This window comes from Homo sapiens, chromosome 2 (genome assembly GCF_000001405.40).
Source record: "Homo sapiens chromosome 2, GRCh38.p14 Primary Assembly".
Taxonomy (NCBI): Eukaryota; Metazoa; Chordata; class Mammalia; order Primates; family Hominidae; genus Homo; species Homo sapiens.
The window spans coordinates 238,336,596-238,362,616 of NC_000002.12; the positions used below are offsets into that span (position 1 = coordinate 238,336,596).

Here is a 26,021-nt window from a genome sequence, read left to right on the forward strand (position 1 = left end):
AGAATATTATAATTTTTGCTTATTTCTAAGTAGTGCATACAGAGCTGATCACTTTGACTTAATGAGTACATTTTAATTTCATTTGTTTGTTAACTGCTTTACATTACATTACAGATTAAGTTTAATATATATTTTCATTGTGCAATTTTATGTCAGGAAGAAGGGACCCTAAAACCAGTGAAAATAGTCTTTCCCCTGAAAAGGAACATAACTTTTCCTACTGTAAAGCTAAGAAGGAACATAGCATGAAACAGCTTGGTAAGCTAAGTGAACCATAGTGGAGGCTGTGAGTGAATGTTGAGAGTTGAAAGCTTTACTGCCTGGTCCTGTGCTTCTGCTTGGTCATTGAACATGTGGAAGTCTGTGGGGGTGGTTGGCATAGGTGTGGCCCTGCTTGACCTGGGGCCTGCGCTCTAGAACACTGCCTTCTGGCCAGGGTGGAGAGGGGGCAGAGGGACATGTTGGCCCCATGCAGGGCTGCCCCTGGCCAGGTGAGGATTTCCTACCCTGAGTCAATCACAGGCTTAAATTGTCCATTTGAGCCTTCCTTCACTGATTCTGCAGACATTTATGATAATAAAGAGAACACAGGGGTACATATGTGCATGTTAGTTTGTGATGAATCTTCAAGGAAAATGAAGCCAAGAGGAGCAGGAATGAGGGGCGTGAGCAGGGAGGGCCTCTCTGAGGGAGGACATCTGGACAGAGAGCTGACTTGGGTGAAGGAGGACATGCAGGTGTGTGAGTGGTGAGGTGGGTGGAGAGAGGAACAGTGATAGGGGAAAGGGCCGGGCCAGGAAGCAGGGCCTGGAGCTGCTGGTCCCGGAGCTGCTGTTCCCGGTCCACAGCAGCTGTGTGGTTTACAGTGAGTGCACACAGAAGTCCTTGAAGAGTTTTAAGCAGCACCGAGGCAAGATTTGACTTAGGTTGTAGAAGGCCTCCTTTTAAAACTGTGGAGTGGCAGGAGTAAAGGCTGCAGCGCAGCGAGGAGGGGGCCATGGCATCTGGATGAGAGGAGGTGATGGTTTGGACCAGAGTGCCAGTGGTGACAGCAGAGTGGGTTTACTGTGCTGGCAGGTTGGATGCCACTTGTTTGAACGGAAAGGAATCAAAGATGAGATTCATTGTGGGAGGGGTCTGGGCTCCTAGGGGGTGGCCTTTATTGACATAGACGGTTCTGGGAGACACTGGTTGGTGGAATGGGTGGCAGTGTTAGGAATTCTGTGTTGGACAACAAATTTGAGATGGCTATGGACCAACCAAGTAGAAACATCTAGTCGACAGCTGGATATATTGACTTGGAGATCAGGAGAGAGCTGGAGAAACCAAAGGGAAAAACAAAAAATGGAGAGTTCTAGCATACAAGTGATGTTTACGGACATGGACCTTTGCGCAGTAATTAGTCCAGGGGCGTGTGTAGGTAGGAAAGGACGTGGTGAACTCCAGAGCTTGCTGTGGTCCCCCAGGTCAGAAGAGGAAGAGGAGGAGGAGGAAGAGGAGGAGGGAGGATCATCCTTGCAAAGGAAACAGAAGGCCAACAAGTTGGAGGAAAACTTGGAGAGGAAGAAAGTGTTAGGGAAGGAGAGGGGGCTTCTTGTCAAGCTCTAAGGAGGGGAATCATGTGGAGGCTGAGAATTGACCATTTAGTTGACAAGACAGTTTGCTGGTGACCTTGGTGTAATGTAACCCTTATAAATCCCAGCTAAAACAACCAAACACAAAATCTTTTATAATATTTTAATCTGTTGTTAACTATTTTATGTCAGGAAGGAAGGAGGATAATATTTCAGCTAAAAGTTTAGACTCCATAGTGTCTGGAATAAATAATGAGCCAAATCAGGAAACGACAACATCAGAAATAGGTAAGAAAAATATATTCTTTAGTTTAAATTCCTCACCACTTTAATGTGAATGGTTATATCTCAATGTAGTTATACATTGTTAAAAAATTATTCTAACTACTTTAATGTTCATGAGACTTTTTCATGATGTATTGAAGACTGGACATAACTTGAGGTTTTATTTGCTTTAATATGCTAAGTTATGTAACTTTATTAACTCAGCTTTTAGTTAATTATATGCCTTTTTATACATAGATTATTTTTACATTTCAGTCAAAATGCTTTCTTAATCTTGCTGTCGGGATCTCACAGTGGTGTGGCTGATGACATAGAGAAACGGTTTTTATGTCTTCGTCCTGCTCTGCTTTATTCTACTCAGAAAATGCTCGCAGTAGAGATGTTTAAAGTGCTAGTTAGGCACGTTGGGGAAGTTGGCCTGTCACAGCCAATCACATTCAGTCCAGCCGTGTGGTGGGTGTGCCCAGCCCTCGTCCTGCTGCCTCAGAGGGGGTGGTCCTTGGTTCAGTATCAGTAACCACTGTCATCTGTGACTTCAGACGGAATTCTTCAAGATGCTAGAATTCTTCAGTTTCACTTAAGGTAAAAATAGTGTAAAATTAGACTTTAGGGGAAGAGGAAATTTTTGCTGGGCCCAACTTGCCTTGTATCTGTCTGACTTTTACACGTTCTGGAGCGTAGCTGGAATACCGATCAGCACATCCTTCTCTCTCTGTGTGCGTTCCCCTGAGAGCTGGCATTTCCAGGAGTGGGCGCACTTGGTACAGCAGCCGCAGTGTGAAAGATGATCTGTGGTTATTTTATTCCAAGTAGGGTGACTATATGGGAGTTGTCTGGGTCTTCAGTAGCATGGGATGGCGGAGGAAAAGGTGACTGAGCTGGAGCAGGGTGTTTCCACTGAAGAGAGCCCCTGCCATACAGGCATGCATGTTACCATTCAACCACATCTTGGTGATGTATGTTTTCTTTTTGTGGGAGCTTTCCTCATCTCCAGGCGCCTGGGGGGAAACACCCAGGCACACTGCAATCCTGCACTGCAGGAGAGGGCAGCAGGCAGTGGCGAAAGCCTGAGGGGTGGACTCCTGGTAGCCCCCACCCAGCTAGCTAGGACCTCATCTCTGAGGCCACAGGGATGACTCCCCACTTCCTGCTTACCTGCCTCATGGCCTTGAGCCAGCCACGTGAGTGGGTTCTCTGAGCCACAGTTTCCTCGTCATAAATGGGCGTAAAGATACCTGCCTTGAGGGTGAACGAGGTGTCCATTAAGTGGTGGCTTGCCCCAGGCACGCCGCGGTCTAACCCGCTTTATCACGGATCACCTCTGCTGAGCTGCCAGCCCCAGATCAGGGCGAGACAGCGCTCATCCTGAGATGGGCAATGGATTTAGAACAAATTGAAATCATTCTCCAGACACGTAGTGAGGACTGTGTAGGTAATATCAACAAGTGTGAAGATAACACAAACCCAGGCAGTAAGAAGCACAAACTGCAAACGTGGTTTCTGGGTTGAACTTTTTGCAGAGATTGGGATGGAGCCTGATGCCACCTGCTGGGGAGCAGAGTCTCCCGCTGTCCTTGGGTGGCAGTGTGCGGTGGGTGGCGGGGCGGGGGGGTTGGGAACAGTGGCCAGGAGCAGAGTCTGGGCTCTGGAGAGACTCCCGGTCCCTTGTCTTTCTCCTCCCCCCGACCCTGGCCCTGCTCCCCTAGGGTCCTGCCACAGCGCGGACCTGGGGTCTCTGTCCTCGCAGTTGCAGGTGTTACCTTGCACTGGTCATGGTTTAACATTTGGAATTCAGAGTTTGCTGGCAGTTGTTACAGTTCCTTAATTTCTTCATTGAGGGTGCACTGCTATTGGGTCTGGTTAATGAGCTGGTCCTCACAGTACCTTTCCTTCTTAGTGCTTCGAAGAAAAGTCCATGTTGTCAAAGCCGGCCTTTGTTGCACTGACTGACCCGGCCCTCGTGAGCCCTGTGCCCATAGCCTGGGTCATCATCAGAGAATTTGTGGGTTTTATTGTTACCATTTTGATTTTTTGGGTGGATTAAAGAGTTCAACAAGGAATTTATCCATTTCTTTTTCAAAACATGAACAATTTCTTCCTGTACTCCAGTTGTTATGCAAGCTGTAAGGCATGCTTTGTTCGCTTTACAATTGTGTGACAGTTCCAGGTTTTTCTGGAACATTAAGTCAGGTCTTTATTTTGCTTAGTTTCCCTCATTTCATTTTTGCTTACTTCTCTAACTGTTTCTATTGTGAAAAATATGGAAAAGTAGAAAGAATAGTACAACTAGTGCCCATATACCTCTCACCCAGATTCACTAGTTTTACGTTTGCCATTTTGCTTAATGTACAGTTATGCGTGTGTGTGTGTGTGTGTGTGTATATATATATATAGAGAGAGAGAGACAGAGAGACAGAGACAGAGACAGAGTCTCACTCTGTTGCTCAGGCTCGGGTACAGTGGCATGATCTCAGCTCACTGCAACCTCCGCCTCCCGGGTTCAAGCGATTCTTCTGCCTCAGCCTCCTGAGTAGCTGGGACTACAGGTGTGTGCCACGATACCCGGCTTCTTATGTGTATTTTTGAGACAGGGCTTTGCTCTGTCACTCAGCCTGGAGTGCAGTGGTATGATCATAGCTCACTGCAGTCTTGAACTCCTTGGCTCAAGTGATCCTCCTGCCTCAGCCTCTTGACTAGCTAGGACTACAGGCATGTGTCACCATGCCTAGCTAATTTTTTTTTTTTTTTTGTAGAGAGAGCATCTCACTTTGTTGCCTAGGCTGGTTTGAACTCCTGGGCTCAAGTGATCCTTTCACCTCAGACTCCCAAAGTGCTGGGATTACAGGCATAAGCCAGCAGACCCAGCATATAGTTACATATTTTAATGAACTGTTTCAAAGTATGTTAAAAAAACATCCTAACACTTTATCTCTAAATACTTCGACATGCAGCTTTAAAAAAAAGTACATTTTCCTACATAGCCAGAAAAGTATTGTCTAACTGAACTCAGTTATTGCTTCCTGATAGCATCTAAAACCCAAGCTGTATTCTAATTGTCCCAGAAATGTTTTTCTATTCTTTTTTTTTTTTTTAAAAAAAAAACACTGGCTATTTGATGACATTTAACTTAGTGTAGCTAAAATTTGCGCAGAACACTGGCCGAATGATGGACCTCTTTCAATTGTATTTATGGGCCGTACGTCTGATTAGTTTCAATAACAGTGACTGATAGGGACTGGCCCCTCCCAGCCGGGCACAGTGCTCCTTGCTGTATGCACAAGATCTCATTTGACTCAGGATGGCTCTGTGAGGCGGGGCAAACTGGGCAAACTGCGGCTCAGGAAGGCTGAGGGACCTGACCAAAGCATAGCCCATGGAGAGAGGAAGCGCCAGTGTTCCACCCTAGGGCGTCTTGAGCCAGGGCTCACATTCTCACCTACAAGGTTCATTGGTTACCAGGTAGCTCTAGAAAACAGATTGTGCTTATGCTGTGACTCTTTTTTTTTTATTTTGCCAATTCATAGTCATTTTTATTTTATTTTATTTCTTTTTTGAGATGGAGTCTCACTCTATTGCCAGGTTGGAGTGCAGTAGTGTGATCTTGGCTCACTGCAACCTCCACCTCCTAGGTTCAGGGGATTCTCATGTCTCAGCCTCCTGAGTAGCTGGGATTACAGGCGTGTGCCACTAGGTTCAGCTAATTTTTGTGTTTTCAGTAGAGATGGGGTTTCACCATGTTGGCCAGACTGGTCTCAAACTCCTGAGCTCAGGTGATCCACCTGTCTGGGCCTCTCAAAGTGCTGGGATTACAGGTGTGAGCCACCGCTCCTGGCCGTCATTTTCATTTTATAAGTGCATTATTTATTTGTTTAAAACTATTATTTGACAAATTGGTTAGTCCCTTCTCTGTGATTATGAATTGATTCTACAGTGTGGTATAATTAGTGAGCTATAGTCTGTTTTCATGTTCTTTCTCTCGGTGTGAACTTGGGGTTTAGTAAAGCTTACATAAGAATACCACTAGAACTTTGAAAAGGTAAAATTGTGAAAGTGTCATTGGTCTCTGAACTACAGAATGAAGATAATGCATTTATAATTTGCTTACTGTGATGGTGAATATGGTAGAGTATGGAAAACATTTGACACTTTGAAATCAAGTACACAACTTAAAATTATTAGAGTGTTTTCTTCTAAAGTTGAGCATCTACAACCGCCAAACTTATGTTTATTTTTAGATTTTTTTTTGTTAAGAACTTAATATTTCATGTTTATTCTCTGGTTACCCTGAGTAAAATATAAATAACTGTTTGAATCAGACTATTTAAGTCAGTATCATTTTCACAGATTGATAAAAATGTCTTTGCAAAATTATGTGTCATCTATTTTATGTAGTTCTATTACATTATAAATAAAACAGTTATATGATAGTTAATGTCAGGTTGATTCTGATGTAAGCTGTTTTGAATAGTTTTAAGAATTATAAGATTGTGTTTCAGGAAAGGGAACATTTTACAATTTTATTTTTGTCTCTCAGTTTCTTTTTAGAGTGGTAGGTCCTTTGACTGAAGCTAGTTTTCCAGCTCTGGGTCCTGCTGTAATATAGAACCTATTCCTCTAGCCCCTCATCTGGGCCCCCTATTTTTTTTTTTTTGAGACAGAGTCTGGCTCTGTCACCAGGCTGGAGTGCAGTGGCACGATCTCGCTCACTGCAACCTCTGCTTCCCGGGTCCAAGAGATTCTCCTGCCTTAGCCTCCCGAGTGGCTGGGACTACAGGCATGTGCCACCACACCCGGCTAATTTTTCTATTTTTAGTAGAGATGGGGTTTCACCATGTTGGCCAGGATGGTCTCGCTCTCTTGAGCTCATGATCCACCGGCCTCAGCCTCCCAAAGTGCTGGGATTATAGGCGTGAGCCACCACACCTGGCTCCTACCCTTTTTTTTTCAGACATGATCTCGCTCTTACATGCAGGCTGGAGAGTGGTGGCATGATCATGGCTCACTGCAGCCTCGACCTCCTGGGCTCACGTGATTCTCTTGCCTCAGCCTCCTGGGTAGCTGGGACTACAGGCACCTGCCACCATGCCTAGCTAATTTTTGTAGATATGAGGTTTCGCTATGTTGCCCAGGCTGGTGCCTGCCTTGGCCTCCTAAAGTGTTGAGACTTCAGGCATGAGCCACTGTGCTTGGCCTTTTTTTTTTTTTTTTTTTTCCCCGAGATAGGGTCTTACTCTTTGCCCTGGGCTGGAGTGCAGTGGCGTGATCACAGCTTATTGCAGCCTAAACTCCTGGACTCAAGTGATCCTACCATCTCAGCCTCCTGAGTAGCTGGGACTACGGGTGTGTGTAACCATGCTTGGCTAGCTTTTTAAATTTTATATTTTTTTGTGTAGACGAGTTCTCTCTGTGTTACCTAGGTTGTCTTTACTCCTGGGTTCAAGTGATCCTCCCACCTAGGCCTCCCAAAATGCGGGGATTATAGGTGTGAGCCACTGTGCCCAGCCTGTTTTTTTTTTCACAGCAAAAATATTTTCTCAGGTATTTGATATTTTTTCTATCTTCATAAACTTTGGAACATCAGTCAGTAATTAGTAGACAATATGTGGAAGTTTTCAATATGGCCAGGACTGTGCACTGTGTCCAAAATATTTTTCTTTTCTTCCTGCATTCCTGAAACAGCCGCCTACTTGCAGCCTCTCAGCTGCTGGGTCTGGCTCTACTGGGGAGGTGAGTGGAGACTGGCAGTGTCAGGTAGCTCCAGAAATGGGGGGCGGGGGCAGTCTGCTCCTCCTGGCCTGAGTAGACCAAGGATCCACTCATAGTCTGGGGTGTCCTTTCCCTTTCACCCCAGAGCCGCCCATGGGGGAGGAACATTCTAGATGCATGTTTTCTAAAAGCTGCCTTTGGTCAGTCCTTTGTCAGTCCTAACTTGCAGTGTGGGAAAACATAGATAAGTAAGTGTGCTCTATGTTAATGAAGCCGCTGATCACCGGCCCTTTGGTGTACAGTCTTAATGACTAATTTTAAACTGTTTTATGTCAGGAACAAAAGAAGCTAATATTAACTCAACTAGTATTTCAGATGATAATTCAGCTAGTCTGCGGTGTGAGAATATTCAGCCCAACCCCACAGAGAAGCAGAAAGGTAAGAATGGTCCAGTTTCGCCCTTTCCTGGCGAGAGCAGAGTGAGCCCTCCAGAACCTTCTTCTCAAAGGGCCGCAGCCCAGAGCCCGAGGTTTTCCTCTTGGGTCTGAACGTGGCAAGTGATTCACAGTGATTCACTTCTGCCTTTTTGCATAAACTAGAATCGAACATGGTGGTTTCTTGATAGCATGGGACCCACTCGTGTGCTCCCCCGTGCTCTGTAAGTGAGAGGAGGTGGCATGTTTCATCACTTGGGGGGTGTCATGAGTGGTCCCTGAAAAGTTTCGGGGTCACTACTTGGAGAGCCCCACCAGTCAAGAGGTGTACCCCCCAGACTTCATGGTCACAGTGCTGTGGCCACCATGATTTTTCTGTCTGTCATTTTCTTTGAGTGTTGAATTATACCTCAGTGGGATTTTACTTTCACCATAAATTTTCTCAGCCTTTAAAAAAACTTTGGTAAAATAGCCATTCAATGTTTGTGTTTTGAGGCCTTGGAGCTCCTAACAGGCCTGCAAGGGTACCAGTGCCCAGGTAACCAAGGCTTGTGCAGGTGGCAGCGGCAGGGTGGGGTGTGGCCAGGGGAGGGCTGATGTTTGTTGATTTGTTCAAACAGAAAATTATCTGTTGAAGGCCTACTGCATGTCAGCCCTGAGGCTGGGAGCGCATGAGCCAGTGAAGTCAGGCTGGCCTCCTGCCTTCCTGGTGCAGATGAGGCTCGAAGATCAACCGAAATCGTTTGATGGGGTGGCAGTCTGGGACGGGAGGGGCCTTGGTTGGTGAGGGTGGCCCAGAAAGCCTGCAGGGCAGAAGGGGCTGTATAAACCAAGATCCCGGCTGGGATGCGACTGCAGCAGGGCTGGCTCAGCCCAGAGGAAGGGCCAGAGCCAGGTCCCTGTGCCAGCTTATGGAGTTTAGCCTTTATTGGAAGAGCAGCGGGAGGCTAATTATATCTTTAGGAGGAGCAGTATAATGATATTTAGATTTTAAAGAGTGGCCATGTTAATTAGGGAGGGTTAAAGATTGTGCAGAGAAGAGAGAGAGGCCTGGACTGTGGAGGCGCCCTGGGAGGGGAGAAGTGGTAGGATTCCAGGGCTGCTGGCACGTGCTGGGGGAGCTGGCCTGGAGCGTAGAGGGAAGGCCCAGGCTAGAGAGGAGCTGTGAGAGTTGCTGGCGCTGGGTGATGGCAGGAGCCTGGGTGGGGACTGGGTCACCTAGGACGAGATTGTGAGTGCAGGAGCTGGCAGAGCACTGGCGCTGTGGAAGCACAGGCGTCGGGGAGGATGGTGTGGGCCATGTGGCAGGTGCCTTGGGTTCTGGGTAACGGGGACTGGAAGTATCCATTGAAAGGTAGAGAGTTCACTGTGCTGACTTTCCTTCTGGGTATCGGCCTTGTGGTTGAATAACTGCACCTCTCAGGCACCTTTTTGAGTGCTGTGTTAATCCAGGGTCTGTTCCTAACACCCTGGTGTTTTGAAGAAAGAGCCGGGGATTTGAAACTGTGTCTGCTGCCTGCCCCCAGGTCGCACGAGGACTCTCAGTGCTGGTTTCTGCTAAGCACACGCTCCAGGCCGCACAGCCATGAGGAAAAGATCTTCTGCCACCTGCTCTTGGTCCCCAGCAGTCCCATCCCAGGGTTGAGCTGAGTCCTCTGCCCCCATTGGCCCAAAGTGCTGGGGTCTCTGAAACTGCCCTTGTAGTGGCACTATCTGGAACCACATTCTCCAGCCCCCTGCTAACCACTGTGCCCTCCAGTCCCCTAGGCCCTGGTGGGTGCCAGGCTACCCCCTGTGCTGTGGCACTTTGTGGGGTGTGACCTCTGGAGGTTCTCAGGCCCATACTAATAGAGTCCTCTAGAGCCTCCCGGTTCCCCTTGATCCACAAGCTTGGCCCCCTCTCTCCCTGCCAGAGCCACCCTCTTAAGGCAGCATTTATGAGCTCGTGGCTGTTATGCTCACAGAAAGTCCTCCTGTGAATAAACGAGCTAGAGGTGTCTGTAGAGTGCTCCTCACTCTGCTCGGTGTGGACCCTCACAATAACCCAGGCTGATTTCTCGAGGCTGCATGAACTGTTCCTGTCTGAGGCGGGGCCGTGTTAAACGAGGCGCTGCATCAGGCCCTGCTGCCTCCTCTCTGCCGTATAGTGTGCTGGGCTGTCATGTGAATCCATGCGCTTTCTGCTCTTCTGCAAATGCGTTCGTGCATCTTAAGAGTGTGAAACAGAGATTTCCCACCTGTGGTTTTGAATCACCCCACCCCTGTGGTGCCACTGCTCATTTACTTTGACCGTTTAGGTCACATTTGTCCTCAAGACAACACTTGAAGAAAAAGGATCCTGGGTGAAGGTGCAGAGGTGGGCCTCTGTTGAGCTGGAAGATTTTCTTCTGCTTTCAGGAGCTGATGGAAAAATGCTTACCAATCATGTCTATAAGATGGGCTGTTGTTGACTGTCTCCCAGTCTTTGGAACGGCCCGGGATTTGGTTGGCCGGGTTCAGACTGTTGCATCGTTCCCTCACATTTGGATGCACTTTTTCTGTGGCTCTGGCTTTGTCGATTCTTGTCTCATGAACTTGTTAACTTCCTCTCCGATGTGCTTTCTCCACATCCCTGTGTCCTGTTTCTATTTAGTACCATTTTATGATGCACAGTTTGTTTGCTCTTTGTTTTTCTATCTTTGAAAATAAAACAAAATGGCAATAGGGACATTAGAAAAGCGGCTATGAGGAAATGATCTTTTTTTCTTAGCAGACATCCAAAATTATGTACAGTGTGTTTTTTCTCCAATTCTGTTCTCATCATTTAATGTATTGAGGTTGACTACACGAAAGCTAATTTTCTGATGTGCTTTTTCTTTAGGTGACTCCACCAGTGATGCAGGTGAGGAATGGCCTTAGATACCTGTGTGTCATATCAATTGTATGCATGTGTGTGAATGTGAATGTGGACTCTCAGATTCATGCTTTATAAAGTGCATTAGTGAAAGTAACTTATTTTATGGAAAAAGATCATAACTACCCTAATGTATTTATTTATTTATTTATTTTTTGAGATGGAGTTTCACTCTTGTTGCCCAGGCTGGAGTGCAATGGCATGATCTCGGTTCACCGCAACCTCTGCCTCCCGGGTTCAAGCAATTCTCCTGCCTCAGCCTCCTGAGTAGCTGGGATTACAGGCATGCACCACCACGCCCGGCTAATTTTGTATTTTTAGTAGAGACGGGGTTTCTCCATGTTGGTCAAGCTGGTCTCGAACTCCTGACCTCAGGTGATCCACCTGCCTCGGCCTCCCAAAGTTCTGGGATTACAGGTGTGAGTTACTGCGCCTGGCCAACTACCCTAATTTAATTTGAAATTTAATTTATATGTTTTAAGTTTGAAAACAATACATTTCAGGATTTTTTTCCAGAATATAAAGTATATTTCTAATATTCAAATTCTGACTATTTTCTGAAGTGTTAATTCCTTTTACTTTAAATAGTGGAGTAAACTTGTCTTAATAGTTTAGGCCTTGTTATTTACTGATTAATTCTTTTTATCAAAATGAAGAAAACTTTGTTCAGATTATAAACATAATATGGTATACCAATGTAGAAAAATTTAAAAATGCAAAAAAAAAAGAACAAAAATTAAAAGCACTGGTAATTCTACTGCTTATAACTTAAATGAATATTCTTCTAGAACCCTGTATATATATATATGCATATGTATATAATTGTTAGATATATTACTGTACTGGATTGTTTCACACAAAAGGGAGCTGACATGTGACTGTACCATAATTTACTTAGTTACTGATTGATTGTCAGTATTACCAGTGACGATGGGTGAACATCTTGACATGTGTCCATTTCTCCTCTTGGGTTGTATTTCCTTTAAGTGCTCAGTTGATCAGCCTGCCTTTTGAATTTTATTTCTGAAGTAGTTGAACCAGTTTGTATTCCCTGGGTTTGAGTGTGCCCATTTTCCCAAATCTTCACTGAGTTTAGATATCAGACATCGATTTTCTCTTCATCAACATGATTGATGGAAAAATTGCTCATTTGTATTTGCAATTACAAATGTATTTGATTGCAAATAACTGCAAATACAGATGCAAATAGTATTTTCAAATAGTTATCTATGTGTGTTTTCCTTTGTGAATTGCTAATTGATTGTCATTTGTTTAGAAGGAGATGCTGGACCTGCTGGCCAAGATAAGTCTGAGGTGCCAGAGACTCCAGAAATTCCTAATGAGCTTTCATCCAACATCAGGTCTGTGTGCTTTGAATCCCTTTCCCTCAGCAGAGTGATCACACCTAGGACACTGCTGTGCTTCTCTTTCTGGCTGCTGCTATTTATTTAGTGCTTGAGCTAACTTATGAGGAATTACTTATACAAAGAATACAAGAAGTATATCAGTTTTCTGTACTGGAGTTATATCACTATATAGTGATATAATATTTTGGAGATTTAGGGGAATTCAAAATTATAGCTGAATTATGTGATGTTTTGATTAGTGACAGTTGTTGGTATTTTGAAATTACTGAAAATACAAGTGGAAAGATGGACACTTTCTGATTGGTCGGGTTACTGGGACGTTCCTCCTCTTCTGCAGAGTAGCGTGTCCTAACCAGCACATTGATTATGGCTTGGAGATGAGAGTTAACATTCACCTGGGCTTTCTTTTCCAGTTTGAAATGTATAAGCCTTTCATACTCCTTTTTTGGTTTTCCAATATTTGGGTTTAGAAGAATTCCTCGGCCTGGGAGTGCAAGACCAGCCCCTCCCCGGGTCAAACGGCAAGACAGCATGGAGGCGCTACAAATGGATAGGTAAGGCTGGCTCAGCAGGGCAGTTCCAGCCACACAGTGTGTTCTCCAGTGGGCATGGTGCCTCCGCTAAGAGAAGGGGGAGGGAAGCAGCACATGGTGCTGGAAACATGCTATTGAGGAACAAAAAGTGAGGGTAGGCCCTCGCCTCACACCATAGGCCAACAGACATGTCAGATGGATGAAAGAGAAAAACCATGCATACATGTAAAATACATCTTCACATCTATGGGAAAATGTTGGACTGCATTTCTCTGACCCCTAGATTGAAGACTTTCTAAGCGTGAAAACAATAGGGGAATTAGGAAAAAATAGGGGAAAAAAATTAGGGGCTTAATTGCAGAAAAATTAAAAATAGAAGGTGATCAAAATGTTATAAGCAGGCTGGGCCTGGTGGTTCACGCCTGTAATCCCAACATTTTGGGAGGCCGAGGCGGGCGGATGGCTTGAGGTCAGGAGTTTGAGACCAGCCTGGCCAATGTGGTGAAACCCCCGTCTCTACTAAAAATACAAAAGTTAGCTGGGCGTGGTGGCGTGTGCCTGTAGTCCCAGCTACTCAGGAGGCTGAGGCAGAAGAATCACTTGAACCTGGGAGGTGGAGGTTATAATGAGCTGAGATTGCACTGCTGTACTCCAGCCTGGGCGACAGAGTGAGACTATCTCAAAAAAAAAAATAAAGTCATAAGCAATATAAAGACAAACAACAGATAGGATGGATCAGAGTGGGTTTCAGATCAAATAAGAGGCAGGGATTGGAGGCAGGAGTAGATGTGTTTTTCTAGGAGTTTTGCCACAAAGAGAAGGGAAGGAATAAGACTAGAAAGTGGGAAAGGTGGTGTCAAGGGGAGTTATTATTTTTCTAATGACGGGAATGATCCAGTGGAAAGGGGAAATTGATGACGTAGGCGACGTGGGACAGGGGTTTGGTGGAGCAGAGTCCCCGTGTGGGTGTGGGAACGGGCGCGGAGGTGGAGTCGGCACATGGTGTGATGCAGATTCTTAAGGTGATTTTCTGGTACTTATTTTTCTCATGAGCCGTAAGAGGGTCTGGGGGAAGAGGAGTGTCAGAGGAGAGAGGGGCTGGGTGAAGTCGCTGTGCACGAGAGTGGGCTAGTGAAGAGACTGGAGCAGAGGTTTTCCTCTAGGGGTGATCCTACTTTGGGGACACTGGGCCATGATCTGGAGACATTTTCTGGTGTTCTGATGAAGGGGAGGGGTTAGGGCAGGGCAGTTGCTGAACCTCCTACAATGCACAGGACAGTCTCCACCACAAAGGAGGATGGGCTGCCTGCCCATAGTGCCTGGGCGGAGGCCGTGGCTGACAGCTGACTTCAGGGCAGCATCTGGTGGACTTGGGCGTAAAGAGACAGAAGATGGTGTGGCGGGGCCTGTTCTGCAGCTGCAGTTGGCTACACCTACAGGCACTGGGGGGCACAGGCTGTATTAAACAGGGCTCGGCTGTGCCAAGCAAGTGCACCGAGAGAGAAGGGAAGGAGTAGGAGTATGTGGAAGCGCCACGGTCATGACCAATGTGGGATTTATGCCAGTGAGTGAGGGAGGAGCCCTCGGGGTGAAGGTCAGGAGGAGGCATTAGGATTGAGAGGCTGAAGGTGCCGGATGGATAGAAGGATTGTTGGAGTCAGGTCCTAGGGCGGTGAGCTGGGAATATAGATAGTGGTGGTAAAGGAGTGGGGCGCTTGGATTTGAGGTTGGAGCTTGCTGTTAGTGGTAGTGACAGGGGTGCCCCTGGGAGTGGGCGTCGAGTGTGGGAGGTGGGATCATCCCAGCAGGGTTCAGGGACCCAAGGCCAGGATTTTGGAAGGATCATTTCTCAATACTTGAAATCACAAGTAAGACAGGAGCACCGTTGGTGAGAGTGGCGGGTCCAGGAGGACTGGGTGGGACCATGGGTTGGCAGCTGATGGCAGCAATGATGGGGTCGAGGGTGACAAGATTTAAAGTTGGCAGTTTTTAGGGAGAGTGATCTGGAAGCCGAAGCAAGCATAAGGAAATTACTGACCTTCCCTCTGGGCCCGTGACAAGAGGCCGGTGGGAGGAGCAGCAGCTGCAGCTGAGGGCTGTGGGGAAGCTGTGTCCTGGAGAGCAAGGCGGGACAGAGAGGGCCTGCCGATCACGGCAGGCACAGGGGCGCAGGTGTTGAGGAGGTGGATCGTGGGCCACAGTGAGGGTGTGCTGGGAGCGTGAGAGACGAGGGACGGGAGCCTGGACTTCCTGGTACTGACAGAGCAGCGGGTTCGAAGTGAGGTTGGTCCTGGCGGAGCCACACAGGTGGTTGTTGAGTGTCTCAAGGACCCAGTTGAGGAAGTCGAGGATGTTTGGGGCAATGGGTGTTATTTTCAGAGGTCGTTCCCAAGTGTCTACATTCCCTCTGGACCTTGTGCATGGCACTGAAGCAAGGGAGGATTTTGGTGTGTGTGTGTGTGTGTGTGTGTGTGTGTGTGCGCGCGCGCGCGTGTGCGTGCATGTGCTTGTGTGTATGCGTGTGTGTGTGTGTGTGTGTGTATGCATGTGCACGCATGCAGCACTGCGATAACGGGGCAGGGGGAGTTAGGTGATTGCTTAAAGCACAAGTGTGTAGGGAAGAAACAAAGGCAGGAGGGGCCATTAAGGAGCCTGTAGAGTGTTTGGGTCGGGGGCTCACATTTGTACAGAGTGAGCTGACAGTGGCCTGAGTGAGGAGGAGTGGGGCAGCTGTAGGTGGGGCAGTTCTAGTAGGTGGCCCTGGAGAGCATGAGAGAGCCCTTGGGTGAAGGCTGTCACCAAGGAGGACAAGGTCTGGGGCTGGAGGGCCAGGCTGTTGGACGCTGACTTGCCCAGAATGATGTGGACTTGGGTGGAGCGCAGTGTGTACGTGGTGCTGAGCGGGACATAGGGCAGCCACTGTGACTAGGAGTTGAATGAGGGGCCTCCAGCTGGCTGTGTGAAGAGAGGTCTGGGGTCAGCCCTGGTCAGTGGGACCCCAATGTGGCCCCTGCCCTGAGGTTTGTGACCCAGGGCAATAAGCGCCTCCAGGTAGAAAGCAGCAGGTGAAGGGCTGGTGTCACTGAGAGCGCAGTCAGGGGAGAGGCGGAGGCCCTGAGGGTCTTTGTGCAGTAGAGGGCATGACGAGGCTGTGGGGACGGGAGGCCAGGTGTGGACCAGGAGGCCTGGGCAGCACAGGGACGTGGGGAAGCTGGGTGGGGGTGGAGGGCGAGGCTCACAGGGACTCAGGCCTGGAGGGCTTGCAGAGGACACTGTTTGCAGACAGTCCATCTTAGCTTCAGCGGGTAGCTTGAGATGCTGTTCTAGCTAGAGATGGTTGGTGATTAGATTCCTCTCTGCCGACCTCTGACACAGTTTCAGATGCTTGGGACTGATGAAAATGTGTAATTCTAATTTAATCTAATTTCTTTTTATTTAGGTCAGGGAGTGGTAAAACCGTTTCAAATGTGATTACAGAGTCACACAATTCTGACAATGAAGAGGATGATCAATTTGTGGTGGAAGCTGCCCCTCAGCTCTCTGAAATGTCAGAAATTGAAATGGTTAGTTAACCGAAATATGATGTTTTTTAATAATAATGTTTTACCTTCATTGAGATTAATAGTCTAGCTTTTAGATTTATGTAGACAAAAATGTCCTGTAATTTTTCAGTTAGTTTTCTACCTTCGTTAATTTTGTTGTTCTTTTTTTGAGATCCACAGAAGCATGATCTTTAAAATTCAACAAGCCTGAATCTTCTTTTTCCCCCTTCCTTTCCTGCTCAGGTAACAGCAGTGGAACTAGAAGAAGAGGAGAAGCATGGTGAGTCCTGGGCACGAGTGTGCATGTATGTCCATGTGTGTGTGCTCATGCACCTTCTCCACGTGGGCCTGGAAGGATCCAGTGCAAGGGACTGTTGTGTGCCAGGTTCTGGTCTGGGTCACACTGGCGGGATCACACTGGTGGTACATAGGACCCTGCGGGCATGGATTACTCTTAAGGCGATGGCTGCTGCTCCCCATCCTTAGAGGAGGGGGAGGGCACAGTTGGAAGCTGGAAACTCACTGGCAACTGTCCTGCAGATGACATCTCGTCTCTTCCGTACGATTAAATTGTGGAAGTAGATGATCTCTGAGGCCCTTTGCAAGTCTAGTTCTGGAATGTTATTGTTGGTTTTCTAGCTGGACAACTCAGTAGTGCAAACCCCGTTCCCCACACCAGGGTTTGAGTATCCTGGAACACAGTTTCTGCAGAAGAGGCAGGCTGAGTACTTTCCTTTATAGATCTGTTCTCACAATATGACTTTGTTTCCTGGCACCTATCACAGGTGAGTAACGAGGGCTTGTTGGTTTTGGGGGTTTGGGGTTTTTTTTGGTATCTATATGAAGCCACCCTTTTTTATTTGAGGCGGAGTCTTGCCCTGTCACCCAGGCTGGAGTTCAGTGGTGCTATCTCAACTTACTGCAACCTCTGCCTCCCGGGTTGAAGTGATTCTCGTGCCTCAGCCTCACAAGTAGCTGGGACTACAGGCGTGCACCACTATGCCTGGCCAATTTTTGTATTTTTAGTAGAGACAGGTTTTCGCTACGTTGGCCAGGCTGGTCTCCAATTTCTAACCTCAAGTGATCCACCCGCCTTGGCCTCCCAAAGTGCTGGGATTACAGGCATGGGCCACTGTGCCCAGCCTAGTCACGGATTTTTAACATAGTGGATGTGTTTCATTTCAGCCCATCTCAGTTTTTCTTATTAATGTTCAGATTGCCCAGTATTTGACCAGGGGAGCCTATTGGAGTTATTTTCTGGGGGCCTTTAGACACATCCCAGTACACTCTTTAGCTTCCTTGTTTTCTGATACGACAAGGTGTTTCCAGCTTATTTTGTGTACTTCCTGCCCCATAACTGCCTCATTTCTCCAAGGCACCTGGCCGCTTACTGCTCTGGGTTGCTTCTTGTTTCCAGGCATTTTCACTGCAAAAGCAGGGATATACTTTTTTAAAATAAGAAAGTATATTCTGACTTAGTGATGATATTTCCAATTCCGATTTAGGATTGTAGGGTTTTGCCTGCATTCTTTGGTTTTATATATGCATCTCTTCCATCTCATGCCAAAAAGCCTGGCTCCCAGCAGCAGCGGCTGTCCCCATGCTTTATGATCCTTCATATGCTCACATAGCAATTTTAGAACACCACGACTGGTTTTTAACAACAATAGGATTACTGGAAACGCTGAAGGATTTTATTTTATTTTATTTTATTTATTTTTATTTATGTATTTATTTTTGACATGGAGTCTCGCCCTGTCGCCCAGGCTGGAGTGCAGTGGCGCGATCTTGGCTCACTGCAACCTCTGCCTCCCGGGGTCAAAAGATTCTCCTGCCTCAGCCTCCTGAGTAACTGGGATTACAGGCGCCCACCACCACACCCAGTTATTTTTTTGTATTTTTAGTAGAGACGGGGTTTCACCATGTTGGCCAGGCTGGTCTCGAACTCCTGACCTTGTGATCGGCCCCCTTGGCCTCCCAAAGCGCTGGTATTACAGGTGTGAGCCACCAAGCCCAGCCCAAGGACTTTTTTTTTTTTGGTAGGTATGTCTGCCTGTTTGTTGGGTATATCCTATTAGGGATGTACAGTCAGTTACCCTGTTTTAAAGTTGTGAAACAATTCTCTAGTGGCGCATGCTTGCCAATTGGATATCACTAAGTTTATTTCATTTTGCATTCAACCTTTAGGCATTAGTGTTGTTTACCTTTTTAATGTAAGATAATTCGCATGATTTTAAGGTCAGATGTACAAAACCAGGTATAATCAGAAATGTGGGGCTTTGACCCGTCTTCTCTACCCTCTACTCTCCCTGTCTCCTCTACCCTCTACTCTCCCTGTCTCCTCTACCCTCTACTCTCCCTCTCCCTGTAGGTAACAGTAAAATAGGGCTTATACTTACATTTGAAAAACAAACAAATAAATAAATGCATATGCATGTGCATGTGTATTTACTGATACCTACACTTATTTCCATCTTGCTCTTTTTAATTTGACAGCAGATGCAGGCTTTCATTTTGCAGCAATGCAGAGAAACCATCCTCATTTCCTTCATAGCCACGTCGTCCTCCACCGTGTGGACGTACCCTCGTTTATTCAGTCAGCCTCGGGCTGATGTATGCTTGGGTGAAACACTATTCCAAAAAACTTCACATGATATTTATCCCATGAGTAAATTCTGAAAGAAGTGGAATAGTCTTGCCCCAGTGTAAAAGAAGTATCCGTACTTAGAAGCATTTCTTGTTATTTCTGTTTGTAATAAATGGCTATATTTTTGGATGTCAATCTACACTCCTTCTTAATCTTTGAAAATAGAAAATCTATTTTATTTCTAAAGCTTTTTACTTTTCAAGGAGCTGATTTCCCTGAAACACTTTGAAATGTGATAATTTCCACTACCAGCTGTCTATCACTCTTGTGTACTATCTCCTTAACAAATAAAGATTATTTGAAACTGTTTCAGCATAAAAAGAGATAGGATAAAAACTTAGTGTTTTTCCCACCATCCCACCCATTTAGAATAGGTTTTTGGGATAGAGAATAAACTTTTAACATAAAATCACTGATTTTTCAACAGGTGGACTTGTGAAAAAAATTTTGGAGACGAAGAAAGATTATGAGAAATTGCAGCAGTCACCCAAACCTGGGGAGAAGGTAATGGAATGATTTCCATAAACACTGGCATTTTAGCAGTCTGTTTCATGCATTTACAGACTTTTACAAGTTGGAGCATCTTTCAATATTACCATTATCAGTGATGTCTGTTTGCATATTTAAATGCCATTCCTGGCCAGGCATGGTGGCTCACGCCTGCAATCCCAGCACCTTGGGAGGCCAGCGCAGACAGCTTACCTGAGCCCAGGAGTTCGAGACCAGCCTGGGCAACATGGTGAAACCCTGTCTTTACAAAAAATACAAAAATTACCCGGGTGTGGTGGCGCATGCCTGTAGTCCCAGCTACTTGGGGGGCTGAGGCAGGAGAATCGCTTGAACCTGGGAGGTGGAGGTTGTAGTGGATTGAGATTGTGCCACGGCACTCCAGCCTGGGCAACGGAGTGAGACCCTGCCTCAGAAAGAAAAAAAAAGCCATTCCTCCCTCCTCCCAGTTGGGAGGATATAAAGTGTGGGACTTCCTCTGTGGGGCTACTTCCCTGGCCTGGTATCCAGCCCCGTCTTGGGAGGGGGCAGCGGCTTACTTGGGGAGCTCAGGAGCCAAGAGCCAAAGGCCTGTTGGGCTCTGACTCCCTGACTCTCCCCTTCTGGCCTTGCCCATCCCTTCTCCCAGGTCCTGTTTGCAGACTGGGAGGCTGGCTGCCTGATCCTGGCTGATTGCAAAGTAAGAGACTGGGAATTTTTTTTTTTTTTTTTTTGAGGTAGAGTCTCGCTCTGTCGCCCAGGCTGGAGAGCAGTGGCATGATCTCGGCTCACTGCAAGCTCCGCCTCCCGGGTTCACGCCATTCTCCTGCCTCAGCCTCCCGTGTAGCTGGGACTACAGGTGCTCGACACTGCTCCTAGCTAATATTTTGTATTTTTAGTAGAGACGGGGTTTTACCGTGTTAGCCAGGATGGTCTCGATCTCCTGACCTCGTGATCCACCCACCTTGGCCTCCCAAAGTGCTGGGATTACAGGCGTGAGCCACCGCGCCTGGCCGGGAATGTTTTTAAGTCTTTTTTTTAAATACATGTTCTATTGTACCTGGTTCCCCGCAGTCTCCCTCACACATGTGTGATGTGCTTTTGTTGGGACCTGTGGCCTCTTGCCAGCCACTACCCTTTCCTTGGGCACATGACCACTAGGGCGGGCACCTGTGGGCCAACAGGGTGTGTCTCAAATGCCACAGCCAGGTTTCTCTTACAGTCACTTTAAAGAGGAAGAAGAATTTTTTTTTTCTTTTAAACAGAAGTTTCTTGGATATTTAGCCTAATAACTCAACAATTTAAAAAAGTTTTATATATAGGGATGTGTGCACACATACGTACACACACATGCACACATATATGTATTTCTCCCCAGCTGAATTAATGGTTGTTTTAGATAATTTTGCTTAACATGTCCTAGTTTGTCACAAAGCTAGGGCCTGAAATAGCCAATGAGAACTGTGCAATTGAGACTAACAGTAGAGGGAGCCCTTTTAACAATAATAACTGGAGAATGTTGTCGGCGGAGGCTTTGCTGACAGCACCACTGTTTGCCTTGCTGAAAGGAGAAATGCCTTCTGCAGTTTGTTTTTTCATTGATGGAATGTTAATACATTATAGTCCTTTCTGTATGCATGAGGGGTTGTCCTGGTGTCCCTGGTGGTATTTCTGAGACCCAGTCGAAAACCCTGAATGTGTCCCTCCAGGCTCCTAGTGGAGGTCACCTTTGAAGCCTCCATTGGTTTCAATTTTATAGCTATGATTTTTACGCAAAGCATATTAGGATTGTGTTTCAAAGTCTCCTTGGAAGAGTAAATTATTTCAGATTGGTAAATCTTTGGGCTTCAGAAGATGAAAGGAAAAGTGTCCTTTTTTGGTAAACATCTGCTGTTTTGAAAAAGAGTGGTCAGTGAGAACTTCAAAGTCAGGGTTGATGTATGTTACAGTTAGGGGAAAATCAGCAAGTGTCTGTATGATTTTCTTTAGGATATTGATAAACATCAGACTTAAATTTAACTTGTTGGTCTTCTTAAAACATTTTTGTTACATTTTTTTTTTTTTTTGAGTCAGAATCTCGCTCTGTTGCCCAGGCTGGAGTGCAGTGGCGCGATCTCGGCTCACTGCAAGCTCCGCCTCCCGGATTCACGCCATTCTCCTGCTACATTTTTTTTTTAAATAAATAAAAATGTGGCCAGGCGCAGTGACTTACACCTGTAATCCCAGCACTTTAGGAAGCCAAGGTGGGCGGATTGCTTGAGGCTATGAGTTTGAGATCATCCTGGCCAACATGGCCAATCCCCTTTCTACTAAGAATGCAAACATTAGCTGGGCATGGTGGTGCACACTTGTAGTCCCAGCTACTCAGGAGGCTGAAGCACAAGAATCGCTTGAGCCCAGGAAGCAGAGGTTGCAGTGAGCTGTGATTGCACTGCTGCACTCCAGCTTGGATGACAGAGCAAGCCTGTCTCAAAAAAAACATGTAGGAAGAGCCAAAGTCCTTTTTCCCCCTGCCCCAGTCCTGTTCCCCCGAGGGCAGTCCCCAGGATGAACTTGGTGTGTATCTCTACTTTGGATGTGCCTCGTGGTGTTTTTTGAGTTTCTAATGTCACCCTCGTGTTGATCTGTTATGCAGGTTGCTTTCTTCATGCAGCATGTTTCTCTCTCTCATGTTTTGATACATGTAGATGTAGTTTATTCATTTTAATTGAAGCCTTATAGTCCATTATTTGCTTATTAATTACTCTATTGATGGACATTTAGGTTTTTCAGCCATTTCCTTTCATAGACAATGCTTCCATGGCTCCTCTCCATGCCTCCTAGCATTCAAGAGCCAGTGTCTCTTCCAGCAAGAATCAGGCCACTTTCTGTAAAGGGCCAGATAAAAATACTTCAGGCTTTTTGAGCCAGATGGTCTCTTGCAACTATTGAATTCTGCCGATGTGGCATGAATGCAGCCGCAGCATTAGACCATGTAAATGAGCATGTGTGGCTGTATTCAATAAAACGTACTTTACAAAAACAAGGTCCAGGCTGTGGGCTATAGTTTACTGATTTCAGCTTTGGGGGTTATGCCCAGGCTTAGAAGTGCTGTGCCAGGAAGTACACAGATCTTTAGTTTCACCAGATAGGCCACTTTCCTCCTCAAAGTGGCTGTACCAATTTATTCTCCCAGTACAATGAACATCTGTTTCCAAACATCCATGCCAACGACAGTCAAGATAGTGAACACACTCATCACCCTCCACAGTGTCATGTGCCCTTGGTGAGCCCATCCTCCAGCCCATCTCCATGTTCCCCTTACCCCACGCCCCAACCCCAGCAGCCACCCCTCTGCTCTGGTTCACTGTGCTTTAGTTTGCATTTCCTAGAATTGTGTTTAAATGGAATCATGTGATGTGCACTCTTTGAGGTTTTTTTTTCAGTCTGGCCGTTTTTACTCAGCATAATTATTCTGAGATTTATCCATGTTGTTGCAGCGTGTATCTATAGTTTATTTGTTTTTATTGCTGAGTAGTATTTCATTGTATGGATATACCACAGTGTGTTCATCCATGTATCAGTTGATGAACATTTGAGTTGCTTCTAGTTTGGACTATTATAAATAAAGCTGCTGTGAACATTAATGTTCAAGTCTTTGTTTTGACAGATACTTTCATTATGTTGTATGAATACAGTAGAACCCCTCTTATTTGCAGGGGATATGTTCCATGACCCCTAGCGGATGCCTGAGACTGTGGATAGTACCAAACCCTGTATATACCATGTTTTTTCATGATACGTTCCGATGATAAAGTTTACTTTATGAATTAGGTTCAGTAAGAGATGGACAATAACTGATATTAAACAGAACAATTTTAACAATATGTCAGCACCACTCCCTTGTACTTAGGGGCCATTGTTAAATAAAATAAGGGTTACTTTAACACAAGCACTGGGATACTGCCACAGTCTAGACTATCTGATAACTGAGAGGGCTACTAAGTGACTAACAGGTGGATGGTGTGTACAGTGTGTATATATACTGGACAGAGGGATGATTTATGTCCTCAGCAGAACTGTGCAAGATTTGATCACCCTACTCAGAATGGCATGCAATTGAAAACTTATGAATGAATTGTTTATTTCTGGAATTTTCCATTTAATATTTTCAGATTGCAGGTAACTGAAACTGCAGAAAGTGAAACTATGGGTGGGGATAGGACTGTTGTACCTAGAAGTGGGACTGCTGAGGCATACGGTAAGTGTGTGCTTAACTTTTTAAGAAACTGCCAGACCATAGGGCTGGGTGCTATGGCTCACACCTGTAATCCCAGCCCTCTGGGAGGCCGAAATGTGAGGATCACTTGAAGCCAGGATTTTAAGACCAGCCTGTGCAACATAGGGAGACCCTGTCTCTACAAAAAAACAAAAACAAAGATTGCCAAACTGTGTTGCAAAGTGGTTGTATCATTTTGCATTCCTACCAGCAGTGTATAAGAGTTTCAGTTCCTTCACATCCTCGTCAGCACTAGGTACGGTCAAACTTTAAAATTTTTCAGCCGGGTGTGGTGGCTCACACCTGTAATCCCAGCACTTTAGGAGGCCGAGGCAGGCAGATCACGAGGTCAGGAGATTGAGACCATCCTGGCTAATGGTGAAACTTTGTCTCTACTAAAAATACAAAAAATTAGCTGGGCATAGTGGCACAGGGCTGTAGTCCCAGCACTCAGGAGGCTGAGGCAGGAGAATCGCTTGAACCTGGGAGGCGGAGGTTGCAGTGAGCCGAGATTGCGCCACTGCACTCCAGCCTGGGGGACAAAGTGAGATTCCGTCTCAAAAAAATTTTTTTTCATAGTTGTAATTTGCATTTCCTTAATGGCTAATGATGTTGAATATCTGTCCTATGGTTGTATACATAATATATAATGACACCCTTGTGTCTCATATGTTGTAAATATTTTTCCAATCTATCGCTTGTCTGACTTTGCCTTTTTATTTAAAAAACTTTTTTTTTTTTTTGAAACAGAGTCTGGCTCTGTTGCCCAGGCTGGAGTGCAGTGGTCTGAATCTCGGCTCACTGCAACCTCTGCCTCCCAGGCTCAAGTGATCCTCCCACCTCAGTCTCCCGAGTAGCTGGGACTACAGGCACACGCTACCACACCTGGCTAATTTTTGTATTTTTTGTAGGGGGGTTTTGCTATGTTAGCCAGGCTGGTCTTGATCTCCTAGGCTCCAAGCGATCCTTCTGCCTTGGCCTCCCAAAGTGAACCACTGCACCTGGCCAAACTTTTCTATTTTGATGTAAAATTTAAACAGCCTTTTTCTTTATACATTATTTATTTTTTTTCTTTTTGTTATGGCCAAGAGTTTAAGGTGCAGTTATACTTTATTTTTGATTTTGTCTGAAGAAGCTGTCCTATCCTGGTTGTAAAGGTAGTCTCTAGTTTAGTCTTCTTTTTCACGTCTAGGTCTCTGCGTGGTCTGGAAGTGTGATTTTCTGCTGTGTGGTAGCCAGCCAAGGCTTCCTTACCCCGCCTTTGTACCCCCACCTCTCTAGGGAGCCCAGGCACTACGTGTTTCCGGGCTCTGCTGTGTCTCTCCTTGTTTCAGCACTATGGTTTTACCTCTGGGAAAGCCTTTCTAAATGTTCCTCCACTCCTCCCCGACTCTCCAGGTTGTCTTGATTGTGAGTAAGTCTTTATGGCTTTATATAATTGTGGGATCAGTTTGTGTGGTTCCATGAAAAACCTTGTTGTGATTTTGACCGGAATCGTATTGATCTTCGCTTGACTTGACTTTTACCACTAACTTCCACTCCATTGCCTTGCCTGTCTTTGGAGCAAAATGCCTTAAAATAATCGCTTATCTTTTGCTGTCTACAATCTACCTCTTCCCACTCTCTCCTAACCCCATTCCAGGGAGGCCGCTGGCTCTCCACCTTCATCCGAGTTGCCTGAGTTGCCCTCGGCAGGGTCACCTGACCTCTCAGTTGTTATATCTGCTGGTTATGTCTGTGTCCTGCGACAGCGTTTTGATGCTGTTGGCCACTCTCTCCGTCCTTGGCATGGCCTCCAGCACAGCACTCTCCTCTGGCGCCCCTCCTGCCGGGCCAGTCCCCCTTCTCTCTGTCCTTTGCTAGTTCCTTCTCTTTTCATTCTTTTCTTAGTATCACCATCTTAATGTTATTAGCTGTCCTTTCAAACTAATTTTTTTTTTTTACTAAGTCAGCTTCCTTAGTGGTTATATTCCATTTTTCTGTTTTTTCTTTCTTATTTTGGTAATTAATGTTTGAATCTGTTAGGTTTAGATTTACCTGCAAGCAAAAGAAAGCTAAAACATTAGTGGCGTAAATGAAGTATAAAGTGTTTTATCTCATGGGTCAGTCTAGAGGTAGCCATCCAGGTGGCAGTGACCCTGACGCCTTCTGCCTCATTCCTCCACAGCATGATGTGACCTCCCTTCCTCAGGGTGCCTCACAGGCCAGCATAGCTTCAGCTTCCAGCCAGCAAGAGGGAGAAAAGGGAGGAAGGAGAAGGCCTGCCCTTCTCCTTCAGGATATTTACTGGAAGTTG

At 46.1% G+C, this 26,021-nt stretch overlaps 1 protein-coding gene across 11 annotated transcripts in view, besides 1 other annotated feature; it reads left to right on the plus strand.

Annotated features, from left to right (window-relative positions):
• TRAF3IP1 (TRAF3 interacting protein 1) overlaps positions 1 to 26,021 on the plus strand; it is an 80,383-nt gene that overhangs the window by 16,078 nt on the left and 38,284 nt on the right. For 2 of the 11 annotated variants that reach the window (XM_011510944.3, XM_011510946.3), the window contains 9 exons: positions 157 to 258; positions 1,767 to 1,862; positions 7,902 to 8,003; positions 10,860 to 10,880; positions 12,169 to 12,253; positions 12,730 to 12,813; positions 16,232 to 16,355; positions 16,578 to 16,614; positions 19,409 to 19,485. In XM_011510944.3, the coding sequence (XP_011509246.1) occupies positions 157 to 258; positions 1,767 to 1,862; positions 7,902 to 8,003; positions 10,860 to 10,880; positions 12,169 to 12,253; positions 12,730 to 12,813; positions 16,232 to 16,355; positions 16,578 to 16,614; positions 19,409 to 19,485 (728 nt within the window). Of the gene's footprint in view, positions 1 to 156; positions 259 to 1,766; positions 1,863 to 7,205; positions 7,587 to 7,901; positions 8,004 to 10,859; positions 10,881 to 12,168; positions 12,254 to 12,729; positions 12,814 to 16,231; positions 16,356 to 16,577; positions 16,615 to 19,408; positions 19,486 to 23,621; positions 23,708 to 26,021 lie in introns of those variants that run through there. The other 9 variants (XM_047443898.1, NM_001139490.1, XR_922902.3 and 6 more) reach the window with 8 other exon arrangements.
• Positions 9,965 to 10,054: an enhancer, noted in NCBI's record as "active region_17381". NCBI's record gives its function as "activates an Ori minimal core promoter by ATAC-STARR-seq in GM12878 lymphoblastoid cells {active_cell/tissue: GM12878}" and the evidence as "EXISTENCE:reporter gene assay evidence [ECO:0000049][PMID:35858748]".